Here is a 13,169-nt window from a genome sequence, read left to right as displayed (position 1 = left end):
CTGTCACAACAAATTTAAAATGCTGACTGAGAAAAAGCTAATTACTCTCACAAAAAAAAAAATAAAAAAAAAATAAGTCAAGTCGATATTTTCAGAAGGAAGTACAACCTATTTAAAAGAAAGAGTCAGGGGTGGGAGAAGTTTTTCTTTTATTAATTCCGCAAACTTTCAAGTTACAATGCAGTATAGTACTGAAAGGTACTGATTCCAGGGTCGGATTGCATAGGGTAAAATACTTCCCCATTTAATTCGCTGTGTTATCTGAGGCTCAGTCTTCCCACCTGCACATTGGGACTAGGAATAATAAGAATAGTACTATTGTTATTACTCAGATGGGATTAGACAAATGGCCTTAGCCTGGCACAGAGTTTGCATCAATAAGTGGAAGGTATTACTGTTGTTTTAATCAAATGCATATAGGAACCCAGTTAAAGGAAATATGAATATAGTTTTGCTTTTAAGGAATTTATATCTCAAGTTATGTTCACATAACTAGACACCAATTTAAAGCAATGAACAAGCATTTGTTTTTTTCTATGTAATGATGGCTAAATTGACTTACAAAATATGGGAGAGGGACCTCTCTATAGGGAGAGAAATAAAAATCACTGAGAATTAGAACTAGGAAGATCTTTGTTGAGAATTAAATACAGAATCTCAGATAGATGCTAAAAAGTTAATATTGTTCAACCACTAAATCAACGTGTAAGTATCTACAACATCCCTACCAAATCTCTTTTACATGCCTACTTTTAAAACATGTATTATTTTTGTTAATACTTAAAATTTCATACTATACTTTGCCATCAGGATATTTGCATGGCTGTCAAGTCAAATGAGACCCCCAAGTACACATTCTTCTTATAAGCCCAAAAGTTTCCTTCATTGAAATTATCACAACTGAAATCAAAGTCCATATGTACTTTTTAATAACAGCTTTAGTGAGACATTATAAAATTTACCCATGTAAAGAATAAATTCAATGGTTTTCGGTATATTCAGAGTTGTACAACCATTGTCACCATCAAATTTTAGAATGTTTTTATCACCCTAAAAAGAAATCCACACTCTTTTTTTTTTTTTTTTTTGAGATGGAGTCTTGCTCTGTTGCTCAGGCTGGAGTGCAGTGGCACGATCTTGGCCCGCTGCAACCTCTGTCTCCCAGGTTCAAGCAATTCTCTTCCCTCAGCCTCCTGAGTAGGTAGGACTACAGGCATGTGCCACCACACCTGGCTAATTTTTTGTATTTTTAGTAGGGATGGGGTTTCACCATGTTGGGCAGGCTGCTCTCAAACTTCTGACTTCAGGTGATCCGCCTGCCTCAGCCTCCCGAAGTGCTGGGATTATAAGCATGAGCCACCGTGCCCAGCCCACACTCTTAATAGTCACTCACCTTCTCCACTGTCCTCCTTCACTAATTTACTTTCTCTATATATAGATTTGTCTGTTTTATATACTTCATGTAAATGAAATCACACAATATGTGTCATTTTACTTTTATTTACTTAACAAAATGCTTTCAAAGTCATCCATGTTGTAGCATATATCAAGTCCTTCACCCATTTTAAAGTCAAGTAATATTTTATTGTATGAATATACCACATTTTATTTACCCATCCATCAGCTGATGACCACTTGGGTTGTTTGCACTTTTTGAATATCATGAATAATAATGCTATCAACCTTTGTGTGTAAGTTTTTGTATAGACATGTGTTTCCAATTCTCTTGGGTATGCACCTAGGAGCAGAATTGCTAGGTCATACAGTTACAAGAAAGGGGTCCTGATCCAGACCCCAAGAGAGGGTTCTTGGATATCACACAAGAAAGAATTCAAGGCGAGTCCACAGAGTAAAGTGAAAGCAAGTGTATTAAGAAAGTAAAGGACTAAAGAATGGCTACTCCATAGACAGAGCAGCCCCCAGGGCTGCTGGTTGCCCATACTGATGGTTATTTATTTCCTGATTATATGCTAAGCAAGGGGTGGCTTATTCATACCTTCCGTTTTTACACCATTTAGGGTAACTTCCTGATGTTGCCGTGGCATTTGTAAACTGTCATGGTGCTGGTGGGAGTATAGCAGTGAGGACGACCAGAGGTCACTCTTGTCACCATATTGTATTAGTTTTGGTGGGTTTTAGCTGGGTTCTTTACTGAAACCTGTTTTATTAGCAAGGTCTTTATGATCTGCATCTTGTGCTGACTTCCTATCTTATTCTGTGAATTAGAGTGCCTTAACTGTCTGGGAATGCAGCCCAGTAGGTTTTAGGCTCATTTTACCCAGCTTCTACTCAAGATGGGGTTGCTCTGGCTCACACACCTCTGACAACGCGGTAACCCCATGTTTAACATTTTGAGGAGTTGCCAAACTGTTTTCCAAAGAAGGCACACCATTTTCCAATCTCACCAGCTATGTGTAAAGGTTCAAATTTCTCTATATCCTTGCCAATACTTGTTATTGTCTATTATGTTTTATTCTAGTCAATATGGTGGGTGTGAGGTAGTATGTTAACTGTGATTTTGACTTGCATTTCCCGAATGACTAATAATGTTAAGAAATTTTTTGTGTCCTTATAGGACTTTTGTGTATCTTCTTTGGAGAAAGGTCTATTCAAGTGCTTTTCTCATCTTATTAATTATTCATCTTTTTATTATTAAGCTGTAAGTGTCTTGTAAAAATTATGGATACAAGTCCCTTATAACACCTATAATTAGCAAATATTTTCTCCCATTCCCTATTTGCTTTGTAAATAAGACGTGGAGATATTAATACCGAACTGAGAGTTTTGTCTTTACTTCTTAAGCTCTTCTCTTTTTATCCTCCCCATCTTCCATACTACCAACACACACACACACACACATACACACACACATCTTCCAACTCATTCTCCTTCAAAAGCAGTAATTTGCTCCCCAAAAGGGAAGACACAAGTGAAATGAGGGAGAACAAAAGAGGCAGTTAAATTTCCAAACTCAGAGCATGTTAGGCCAAAGCAATTGAGAAAGAACAGAAACTTTTAATCTCTTCCAGCTTGGCTTTAAATGGCAAGAGCCAACCTGAAGGAAGGGAAGAAAAAGTTTAGTTACAAACAACAGATTTCAAAGAGAACTAATAATGTTGCCATTGACCTTATCAGTGTCTCTCCTGAAGAGTCTAGGCCTATTTAGAATGATAAAAGAGAGAGCTTCACAGTACTCCAATAACTCCGCCTAAGGCAGGACTTTTTCTCTGTTACTCACAGTTGGAGAGAATGCAAAGGAGTCTGGGATGATGTCAACACAGGACAGTAAAACTGAGGAACAGCTGCACAGCCAAAACAACTAAATTATTTAATCAGCCTGCTGGACCTGGCAGCAAGTAAGAGTAAGTTGGCTACATTAACCTCCTTTTCCCAAGAGGGTCCCTGGAATGTATAATCTGATATGTACTTCCTACTATATCATTAAGCAAGGGTGAGTTGAAATATGTTTTCTCTCTTTGCCTATTTTTTTGTCTTTTTTAAAAAACTTTCTTATAATGTTCCAATTAATAATTTAGTAAGTAAGAAATGTTATTTGCCCAAGACCTTATCGGTGCCATAGAAGTATAAATATCCAGTGGATAATAACGTACATAAGTGCACCATCCAGGGACACAAATCAGAACAACTCATAAGTTAGGATGAAATGTTTCCAAGATCCAATCATGCAAAATTGCAAATCAAAGGTAGAGAGTTCTTAAAAAGTTAGTGAGACAGAAGTCTTTTATTCCAAGAAAATCTAATCAAATGTTTTAAAGGGAAAATTGGACATGAAATTGACTTTAATACAAGCAAAGAAGTGGTTCTGATATGCTTTGTTTTCTACCTAAAAATCAGGAGATCTAAACATAGCATCCATGCCCCACTTCTCTTCACATAGATAAAGGAATGGTACTCACACCAGGTGGTAAAAAGTGAATTTGTTGACTTAATTTGGTTCTCCAATTTGGTGTTTTCAATAAAGTTCGGTTTTCCTCAAGGTATCTCAACTTTTACTCCCCCATTTGTGAATGTATAACCCCTGATTCAAATTGACTTTTAAGTGCTTTTTGTGACATATTAGGTTAATCTTTGCTACTTTTCTCTATGAAAAAAAGTTTTTATTTGCTGCTTTCTTTAAAGATGTCATCATAGCCTCAACATTTAGATAAATACTTTTTTTTTTTTATTTTCTCACTGACATTTCTCCATTGTGATTGGGTAAGCAATAATTAAAGGGAGCTATTTCTTAGCTGGAGATTAGTTAGGGGTTCTTCAAACCATTTGAAAAATGTAATTCATGTATAGAGACTTATCTTAGTATACATAAGAGAAGAAAGAAAATGAGTTAGCTTGTTACAGTAAGAAAGAGGAGATTGGATCCTGTTTTATAATTTCACAATTTTTTCCTCTTCCCCCAGGTACATCCTAGACTCTCAGAATAGACTCAAATACATTCAATTAATTCAAATACATATTTTCACAGTACTATATGGGATAGTATAGAGATTAATGCAACCAGTTTATAAAGTCAGAGTTTTCTGTTCCATACTTGCACCTAAAACTCCTATTTTACAAACTAAAAATGGCTTCTCTATCAAAATAAATCTGAGTCCTAAAATAATCTCTAATATTTATTGTCTCGATTTGAGTCAAATATGGGATAAGTAGAGTATACTACAGTGACAATAACAGTGAACACTTAGAAAGTCAAGTAAATTACTTGAACTTGTCTTTCAAAACACAGCCTAGGAAAATATTGAGATTACTGTGTTTGGTCTGGACAGATTTTTGACCAAGAAACTCTATACCTGTAAGTATACACAACTTTTCAAAGAGACTAGAGAAAACTCTCATTTGTTCTTGAAGAAGGAGTGATTCACTATACAAAGGAAATTGTTCTAGTATGTTATATAAAGGAAAGAGAAAAAGGTTCATTAAATTACTACATGTTCTCACTTATAAGTGACAGCTAAACATTGAGTGCACATGGACATAAAAATGAGGACAACAGACACTGTGAACTACTAGAGGAGGATAGGGCGTGGGGGTTGAAAAACTACTTATTGGATACTTATGCTCACTACCTGGGTGACAAGATCCATTCCCTAAAGCTCAGCATCATGCAATATCCTCGTGTAACAAACCTGTTCATGTACCCCTGTATCTAAAATAGAAATTGGGTGGGCGCCGTGGCTCACGCCTGTAATCCCAGCACTTTGTGAGGCCAAGGCGGGCGGATCACCTGAGGTCAGGCGTTCAAGACCAGCCTGGCCAATATGGCAAAACCCTGTCTCTACTAAAAATACAAAAATTAATCAGGTATGGAGGCACACACCCGTAATCCCAGCTACTCGGGAGACTGAGGCACAAAAATCTCTTGAAACGGGGCGATGAAGGTTGCAGTGAGCTGAGATCGCACCACTACACTCCAGCCTGGGCAACAGAGTGAGATTTCATCTCAAAAAAATAATAATAAAATAAAATAGAAGTTGAATTTTTAAAACAATAGTAATAATGCCAATGAACAAACAAAAAGAATAAAGAGATTCATTCCTGTACTATAATCTCATGGGGAGAAACTCACAAGTGGGTGGTATATTTATGCTAGAAATTTCAGAAGGGGGTAGGTGGGGGCTGGGGTGGGCCATGGCAGAAATCACTCCTAAATCCTTTATTTTTTATTTTAATTTTTTCATTTTCATAACAAGATTCCCCAGGTGTTGTACCCTTGCCTTCTTGTCACACTTAACTATCCATATCACTTTCAATATCATTATGTTCAATGCTCTTTTTGTCTGGTTACACTTGTTTCTCTCAGTCTCTGTCTTTCCATATTACTTTTAAATTGTTTTCTCTTCTGCTGGAAGTATTGTTTTACAATGAATATTCAGAATGAATAGTCAATAAGAAATAAGTCCACATGCAAACCATCCACCCTCACCTGGGTTATTTTGCAGTAGCCCTCTAACTGGCCTTTCCCTCAGTAATCCATTCTTCTCACAAGTGTCAGAGAGATGTTATTAAAACGTAACTCAGCTTATGTCACTTTACTACTTACAACCATAAAAATCTCCCCATTACATTTAGAATAAAAACCAGACTCCTTATCATGACTGGCAGAACCCTCTGCAACTTGGTCCTGCTTAATTTTCTGTAGCCTCCTCTCAACACACTACCACCATCCACAAATATTCCTTCTGTTCTTTAAGAGCAGCAAACTCATTCCTACTTTAAAATGGTGTGTCTGCTCTTCCTTCCACCAGATGCACATGGCTCCCCATACGTTCATTTAGATCTTGGTTTAAATATCACCTCCTCAGAGAGTTCTTCCCTTAGTAATTACAGAAGTAGCCTTCTCACTTGATGTTATTTTCCTTCCTTCCTTATCATAGTATCCTTCACTGAAACACATGCTATGAGAGAGCGCAGTCCTGAATCTCCAGGCCCTGAAACAATTCCTGGCACATGGCAAGTGCTCCATAAATATTTGTCAAACGAACAAAGCTATAAACTTCTTTGTTGAAGGCTTTAATGGTACTGCTTTCCTTTCAAAATTATCTGGGGTTCTTTCATCTTCTTGTGGCTATTTGAGATAGACAGCTCAATTATTATGCAAGCACATTTCCCCTTAATGTTATGTGACTTCAGTATTGCTTTTGCTCTTCCAAATTTGCTTCACTTTATCTGATATATAATTTAGTTTCTCATTGTGCCTGTTTATTCAACTTGAGTTAAACACTTTGTTTGTACTGGGTACTGTATTTACATGTCTACTTTGCATTTTGTGTGTTTACTTCATTTTTACATCCTGAAAACAAATGTATGAGTACTTAATAATCTGTTTCCATTTTAATTCAGCATTGGTATGGACTGTACTATGGCTCACACAATCCAAACACAAATTAAGGCATCTTCTGATTAGAAAATCTGACATAAAATACTAAAACATTTCTTTGGTCAGAATTATTTATAGAGCTATGGCTTTTGTTACACAAAATAGCAAATACTTTTACAGCTGTGGAAAAGAAAGACAATGATTAAAGAATTTCATGAAGTCTTTGTTTTGTTGGGTTTTTTTTTTTTTTTAGGAGGTTGACTGGGGCTAATAAATTTGTGCTTTAGTTTGATTTAAAAACAACAACACACAATGTCACCAGAGAGTCTTCAGTGTATTCAATAAAAAAAGCAAAAGGCAAAAGACCAACTTGGAAAAGTAGTTTTATATTTACAGAGGTTATAGGTCAGCACATTCAGAGAGAAATATAGCCAGTACTTTTTCTCATAAATTTTTTATACTTGAACATAGGAGTCAAATGTGACAATGTTCTGCTTCACTTTGTGTTCACATAGATGAAGGAGACCAGTAAGTCACAGCAAAGCTGACTTCAATAAACCACCAGCTAAGAATCTGTATATGGATCACAGAATTACTGGTATAGTCAGTACCTAGAGACAAAAGCATTTTCACTATCTTTCTAACTTATCCCTTCTTATAGCCCTACTCCAGAAATTCTTTAACCTCATGAGACTAAAAGTCACTGATCCTACCACTTCTCACTGGCCATTGCCCATCTGGTGCTTGTCTCCTCCTTGCCCTGTTTAAATTCCAAGGTCAATCATTACAATCACTCTCCATATGCACTCAACGCCCCATTCCCTCTATCAACCACCCATCTTCGCTTGGCAAAATAACAATCCTGGTTAAATCCAATTCTATATCTACCTGGAAAGTGAATCCAGGTAAACGAATGAGGCTAAAAAACAGACACATAATCAAATGTTCTAGTGTCCAAGAGGGCTTAATATTCCCCTCTGCTTGACTAAACTTTTGACTAAACTTTAGACAGTCAGCTTCCTGACTCAAGGCTCCTGATTTCCCTTTACTTGGAGCACTTACTTTTAAAGAAATTTCAACTGAAAATTCTTAATCTGCCTCTTTGTGATGAAAATCTTCTCCCAGCTGATTTCACACCCCAGGAATGTCCTTCTCAAGGACCTTGGAACCATCCTTTTGAAATGTAATCTTAGAAGAAAAGAGACAGATCCTTTTCTCTCAGTCTCTTGGGAGGATGGGAGCCTAACTTCCATCAGGAACAAATAGCAAACACAGATGGCCTAATCACAATGAACAACTGCCTCCCTCCTAGAGTACCCCCACTGGATTTACCTATGTGACTTTTCCACTAGCTCACCCCAGTGCTTAAAAGCTCTCCTACCTTTTGTTCCATGGAATTAATTCTCCTTCCCCTATTGCAATAATCTTGAATAAGATTTGGGATTACTAACATCAAGCAGGGCCTTAATGATGCCTAGCAATCATACTTGCTTTCTGCATCCTATGAAAATAGAATATATCAGAATAGGCTTTCCACAGCTCCAGCCATTACATCAATCCACCCACCTGCATGTGTAACCAGATAGTCTACCTTCCCTGTTTCTAGAGGCACTACAGCGCCTATTCTCTTGTGCTTACTCAAGGGGCTTATGTGTGCAAACCTCTCTGTCCCCTGCTTCAGTAATATCTTCTGTTCTTCTCTCAACCTGACTTTCCCTTTCCTACCTGTTGACCCCATTTCTCTCCTTATCTTTTCACCTAAATTAAAATCCAAGCTTTGCTGACTCTTCTCTAAGTTATTCTCTTCTCTTGGATTTTAACAAGCAAAAAGCTCCTGATTTTCCTCCTACTTCCACAGGCTTTCCTGGTCCCTCTTCATTCCTCAGTCTCTTAAAGTAGAAATGTGAAGAATCAGTCAAGGCCTTATGCCTTCCTCTTCATTCATTCATTCATTCATTCCCTTTTATCCCTATAGATCTCCCTTCCCTTTTCTGATACAGACCACTGTTCACGTATATCCAATTTTCAATATTTTGTCAGGACTCCCAGCAAAATGTATTTTTGTGCTCATATGTCTTCGTATATGTAAATGATCTTTCAATAACTATCTCTTTTTTTTTTGGTTTTAAGCTTTTCTCTCGGCATGATGTTTTTAAGATCGATTCATGGTTTTATAATAATTGTTGGCTGCTCCCTCCTTCAGGGTTCTGCCTTGTATTCATCCGCATTTGGTCCCACAGAATGATATTCAGATAGCCAATAGCTCCCTCTACTTAAACAATGCTACAAGAAACCATCTACCTGCCAAAGATCACTTAAGCTTCTGATTTTACTCCAGCCTCTCTCCCTGAGCTTCTTATCTCTCCACCTCAGTGTACTGTTCTTCCAGTCTTCTTCACGTCAATTCATAACAACTCCATCCTTCTAATTATTTACAACAGAAACCTCAGGGTTTCCCCTTGATTCCTCTCTTTCTCTCATTTTACAAGTTTACTGCAATGGTAAAGCTTTTCAGTTTTACCTTCAAAATATAGTCACAATCGGCTGGGTGTGGTGGCTCATGCCTGTAATCCCAGCACTTTGGGAGGCCGAGGCAGGCAGATCACGAGGTCAGGAGTTTGAGATCAGCCTGACCAACATAGTGAAACCCCGTCTCTACTAAAAATACAAAAAAATTAGCCGGGCATGGTGGCAGGCACCTGTAATCCCAACTACTCAGGAGGCCGAGTCAGGAGAATGACTTGAACCAGGGAGGTGGAGGTTGCAGTAAGCCGAGATCACGCCATTGCACTCCAGCCTGGGCGACAGAGCAAGACACTGTCTCAAAAAAAAAAAAATTACATATAGATAGATAGACAGAGAGAGAGAGAGAGAGAGAGTCACAATCTGATGATTTTTCAATCTCCTTCTCCCACAGTGAACAAAGTCACCACTATTGTTCCCTGGATTATTGTAGCAGCTTCTTTATTTATTTTTTCAACACAGCAGCCACAACAATTTTGTTAAAAATCTAAGTCAAATAAGTTCATTGCTCTGCCTAGAGCCATCCAGTGACTTCTATCTCACTCTAAGTAAAAGCTAAATTAATTGCAATGTCCTAAGTGGCTCTCCATTACTTGGCTGCACTTATAGCACTCTAGACACACCTTTTTCTGACTCCATCCTCCAATTCTGTCACCATGACCTCCCCCATACACTATTCCTGTATGACATTTTCTCCTGTTAATCTCTCTATTGTCAATTCACTTCAAAAGACTTAGACTTTAACCTTTAGAGAAAAAGTTTGAAATTTCCTACACCACCAATGTATCTCTATTTCCTCAGCAAACAGGAAAAGACAATTTTTTAATCTTTTCGACCTGAAACAAAACTCATATGCCCAATACCTTTAGGAGAACAACTTTAGACTACATTCCGTATAAAGCTCATCAATTTGAACAGAAAAACTTCCTCCTGCTGCTGCTGTTATGAATCCCAGTCTACAAAAGGATAGCCTAATGTGTGTTGTTTCTCCTCTTTCTCAAAACCATAGCTTTGTGGGTTCAGAGAAAAACAACTAAAAGTGGCATTCCACTTTCAGGCAGAAAATTATGTGTATCAAACATACTTATATGGTAATAAAATATGTGCCCAACTACTAATCCTAGTTGTAAATTGCTAATCTGAAGCTTCAGAGTGGTGATAACTACAATTTTACTTTACACTAGTTAAAATAAGAGAAATATGCCAGTTCCTATTCTAGTAAGTCAAAGTAACATGGTATTTATCACAACAAAAAGTTTGTCTCCCTCTATAATTAGGTTGATTTGCACCTTTCTGCATATAAATGTCAGACATGATAAGCTGCTTTCTATACGAAGCCAAATATATAGCTCATCCCAGAGCTTAGAAATTTTTTAAAGATCTCTGCAGTTTGTGATTCCTCATCACACAGCTGTGAAAGAAGCCAGCCAAGCAGGCTGGATCCCATCTCAAAAAGTTCAAAGGCTAAAAACAATTACCTCTTCAAGGACATCAGCAAGCTTGCTGAGGATCTCTTCAGGAAGGCTCTGGAATGTTGGAACGCTGAAAAACAAAACAGAATAGTGCTGAACACATGAACCACAACTTACTTTCATAAGTAATAAAAATGACCATGAATCTAATTAAAATACAAAACTATTTCATGACAAGGAATCTGCCAAAAAAAAAAAAATGCATTAGCCACACAACCTGAAAAAAAAGAACAAAGTTGCAGATGAAGATCAAAGCAATCATTTAAGCATGGTTTGATGTCTAACAGGGAAAAGGCATGGAGTATGAAAAAAAAACTTGGAGTTTGGACAGACTGAGTCCAAATCACTGTTACATTTACCTGTGTGACCATGGATATGTAAACCGAATATAAAATTTTAAGCCCCCCAGTCAACTGATGGATGCCCCTCTTGGCCAAGGGCATTCCAAAGTAAACCTGAAAAACTAGTTCAGGCCATGATGGGAAGGAAGGGATTGGACATGCCTCATTATACCCTCCTGCCTTTGGATTTCAGTCACAACTTACTAGAATTAACATTCAAATAGAAATAGAAATCTTAAGTCTCATTGTAAGTCTTAAAATAGAAATCTTAAGACTGACAAAACAGACTCTTTATAGAAATAAGATACCAAATTCCAACCTGACTCTAGTATAGAATCACATGACAGATAGCATACCCTGAAAGAAATTGAAGTATTTTACCCCAAAATATATTCCTTTGACATATTTTGAAAATTATTTCTCTCCTGTAGAGCTGTCTCTTGTGGGGAAAGTCTACATTCTATACAGAATCCCCTTTGCTTTCCAGGTCTTTTCCCTAATCTAGCAGAGAATTAACTAAGAGTCTGGCATCTTTTTATGTCTGATAAGAGTTCTGAAGCCTGCTACCTGGAGGCTTCATCTGCATAATAAGAACCTTGGTCTCCACAACCCCTTATCTTAATCCAGAAACTCCTTTTATTCATTCTGGGTCTTCAGATAATAACTTAACTCTTATAACCAATTGCCAATCAGAAAACCTTCTAATCCACCTATGACCTAGAAGCTCCCACTTTGAGTTTCTCGCCTTTCCAGACCAAACCAATATATACCTTATATGTACTGATGGATGTCTGCCTGTAACTTCTGTCCCCCTAAAATGTATACAATCAAGCTGTAAACCAACCACCCTGGGCATATGTTCTCAGGACTTCCTGGGGCTGTGTCATGGATCGTGGTCCTCACATTTGGCTCAGAATGAATCTCTTCAAATATTTTACAGAGTTTGACTCTTTTTGTTGATAGGTGCCTCAACATATAATGAGGAGAAAAACACTCTCTCCTCTGTTAGTCTGCTGTCACCAGGTTCCTTCAAGCTCTATTTCCCTTTCCAGGTCTTCCTCCATACACACACCTTTCTCCAGGCCGACTCCTAACCATTATTGAAGACACAGGTTGATTGATGATGCATTCAGATCTGCAAACATTCACTTAACAACTTTGGAAAGCTTCCCACTCTCCTCAACCCCTCTCCAGCTAGGTCAAGTTCTCCTATCACGATCTCTTTAATCTCGTACTACAAGTGTAATTAGATAATTAATTGGATTTTTGTTACTGAATGTCTTCTCTGCTAGAATTAAAAATCCACAAAAATAAGAACTATGTCTGTCTTTTTCAACCCCCTGTATTTTCAGCGATTTATAAATAACAAACAACATATTTTGAATGTAGTTATGAAAGCATGGATTTGTGAATGCTTCATAGGACAGTGATTAGACCTGAAAAGTTCTACCCATGAAATATATTAGCTTAGTTTGCTCCAATACATCAAAATACAATGTTAGTTCCCTTCTTTTCATCCTGTTCTCTTATTTCTCCCCATTAAACAGTACATAAAAATACTAAATGATGTCAAATGCACAAACCAATAAAACTTACTTTATGCAAAATTATAATAACTTTAAATAAAAAAAAACAAAAGGTTATCAACATATAATTCCTGAAACCTCACTGGAAAATCTAACTGGGATGTGGAACTATAGTCTTAATTAATCATAGCTTAATATCTGAATGGAGAAAAGGCTATAACTGAGTGCATATACATTTGTATGCCTGATGTTTGACTTACAGCATAATTTTGGCTTGATTACAATGATACCATAAAAGAAACAATAATGCTCTCTTTTGGTAAAAGCATGAACATTTTGTTGTTAATTTGTCACTTTGATTTCCATTACTTAGGGTAAGGCTTATTGATGAAATCCCAAGGTTTTATGCAGAGGTGTAACAATTCACCCAGGACCATCTGTTGCACCAGATTTACTGCTATGGTCTGAGCCA

At 37.2% G+C, this 13,169-nt stretch overlaps 1 protein-coding gene across 5 annotated transcripts in view, besides 3 other annotated features; it reads right to left on the bottom strand.

The window, feature by feature from the left end:
- PRKG1 (protein kinase cGMP-dependent 1) overlaps positions 1 to 13,169 on the bottom strand; it is a 1,307,463-nt gene that overhangs the window by 379,944 nt on the left and 914,350 nt on the right. For all 5 annotated transcript variants that reach the window (NM_001098512.3, XM_017016413.2, NM_006258.4 and 2 more), the window contains exon 5: positions 10,837 to 10,900. In NM_001098512.3, the coding sequence (NP_001091982.1) occupies positions 10,837 to 10,900 (64 nt within the window). The remainder of the gene's footprint in view (positions 1 to 10,836; positions 10,901 to 13,169) is intronic.
- Positions 2,575 to 3,486: an enhancer, noted in NCBI's record as "OCT4-NANOG-H3K27ac hESC enhancer chr10:53674681-53675592 (GRCh37/hg19 assembly coordinates)". NCBI's record gives its function as "activates a minimal SCP1, AML or CMV promoter by ChIP-STARR-seq in naive and primed H9 embryonic stem cells {active_cell/tissue: H9 hESC(naive and primed)}" and the evidence as "EXISTENCE:reporter gene assay evidence [ECO:0000049][PMID:30033119]".
- Positions 7,078 to 8,000: an enhancer, noted in NCBI's record as "OCT4-NANOG-H3K27ac hESC enhancer chr10:53670167-53671089 (GRCh37/hg19 assembly coordinates)". NCBI's record gives its function as "activates a minimal SCP1, AML or CMV promoter by ChIP-STARR-seq in naive and primed H9 embryonic stem cells {active_cell/tissue: H9 hESC(naive and primed)}" and the evidence as "EXISTENCE:reporter gene assay evidence [ECO:0000049][PMID:30033119]".
- Positions 8,001 to 8,923: an enhancer, noted in NCBI's record as "OCT4-NANOG-H3K27ac hESC enhancer chr10:53669244-53670166 (GRCh37/hg19 assembly coordinates)". NCBI's record gives its function as "activates a minimal SCP1, AML or CMV promoter by ChIP-STARR-seq in naive and primed H9 embryonic stem cells {active_cell/tissue: H9 hESC(naive and primed)}" and the evidence as "EXISTENCE:reporter gene assay evidence [ECO:0000049][PMID:30033119]".

This window comes from Homo sapiens, chromosome 10 (genome assembly GCF_000001405.40).
Source record: "Homo sapiens chromosome 10, GRCh38.p14 Primary Assembly".
Lineage (NCBI taxonomy): Eukaryota > Metazoa > Chordata > Mammalia > Primates > Hominidae > Homo > Homo sapiens.
This window is presented reverse-complemented; position numbering and strand designations above follow the sequence as displayed.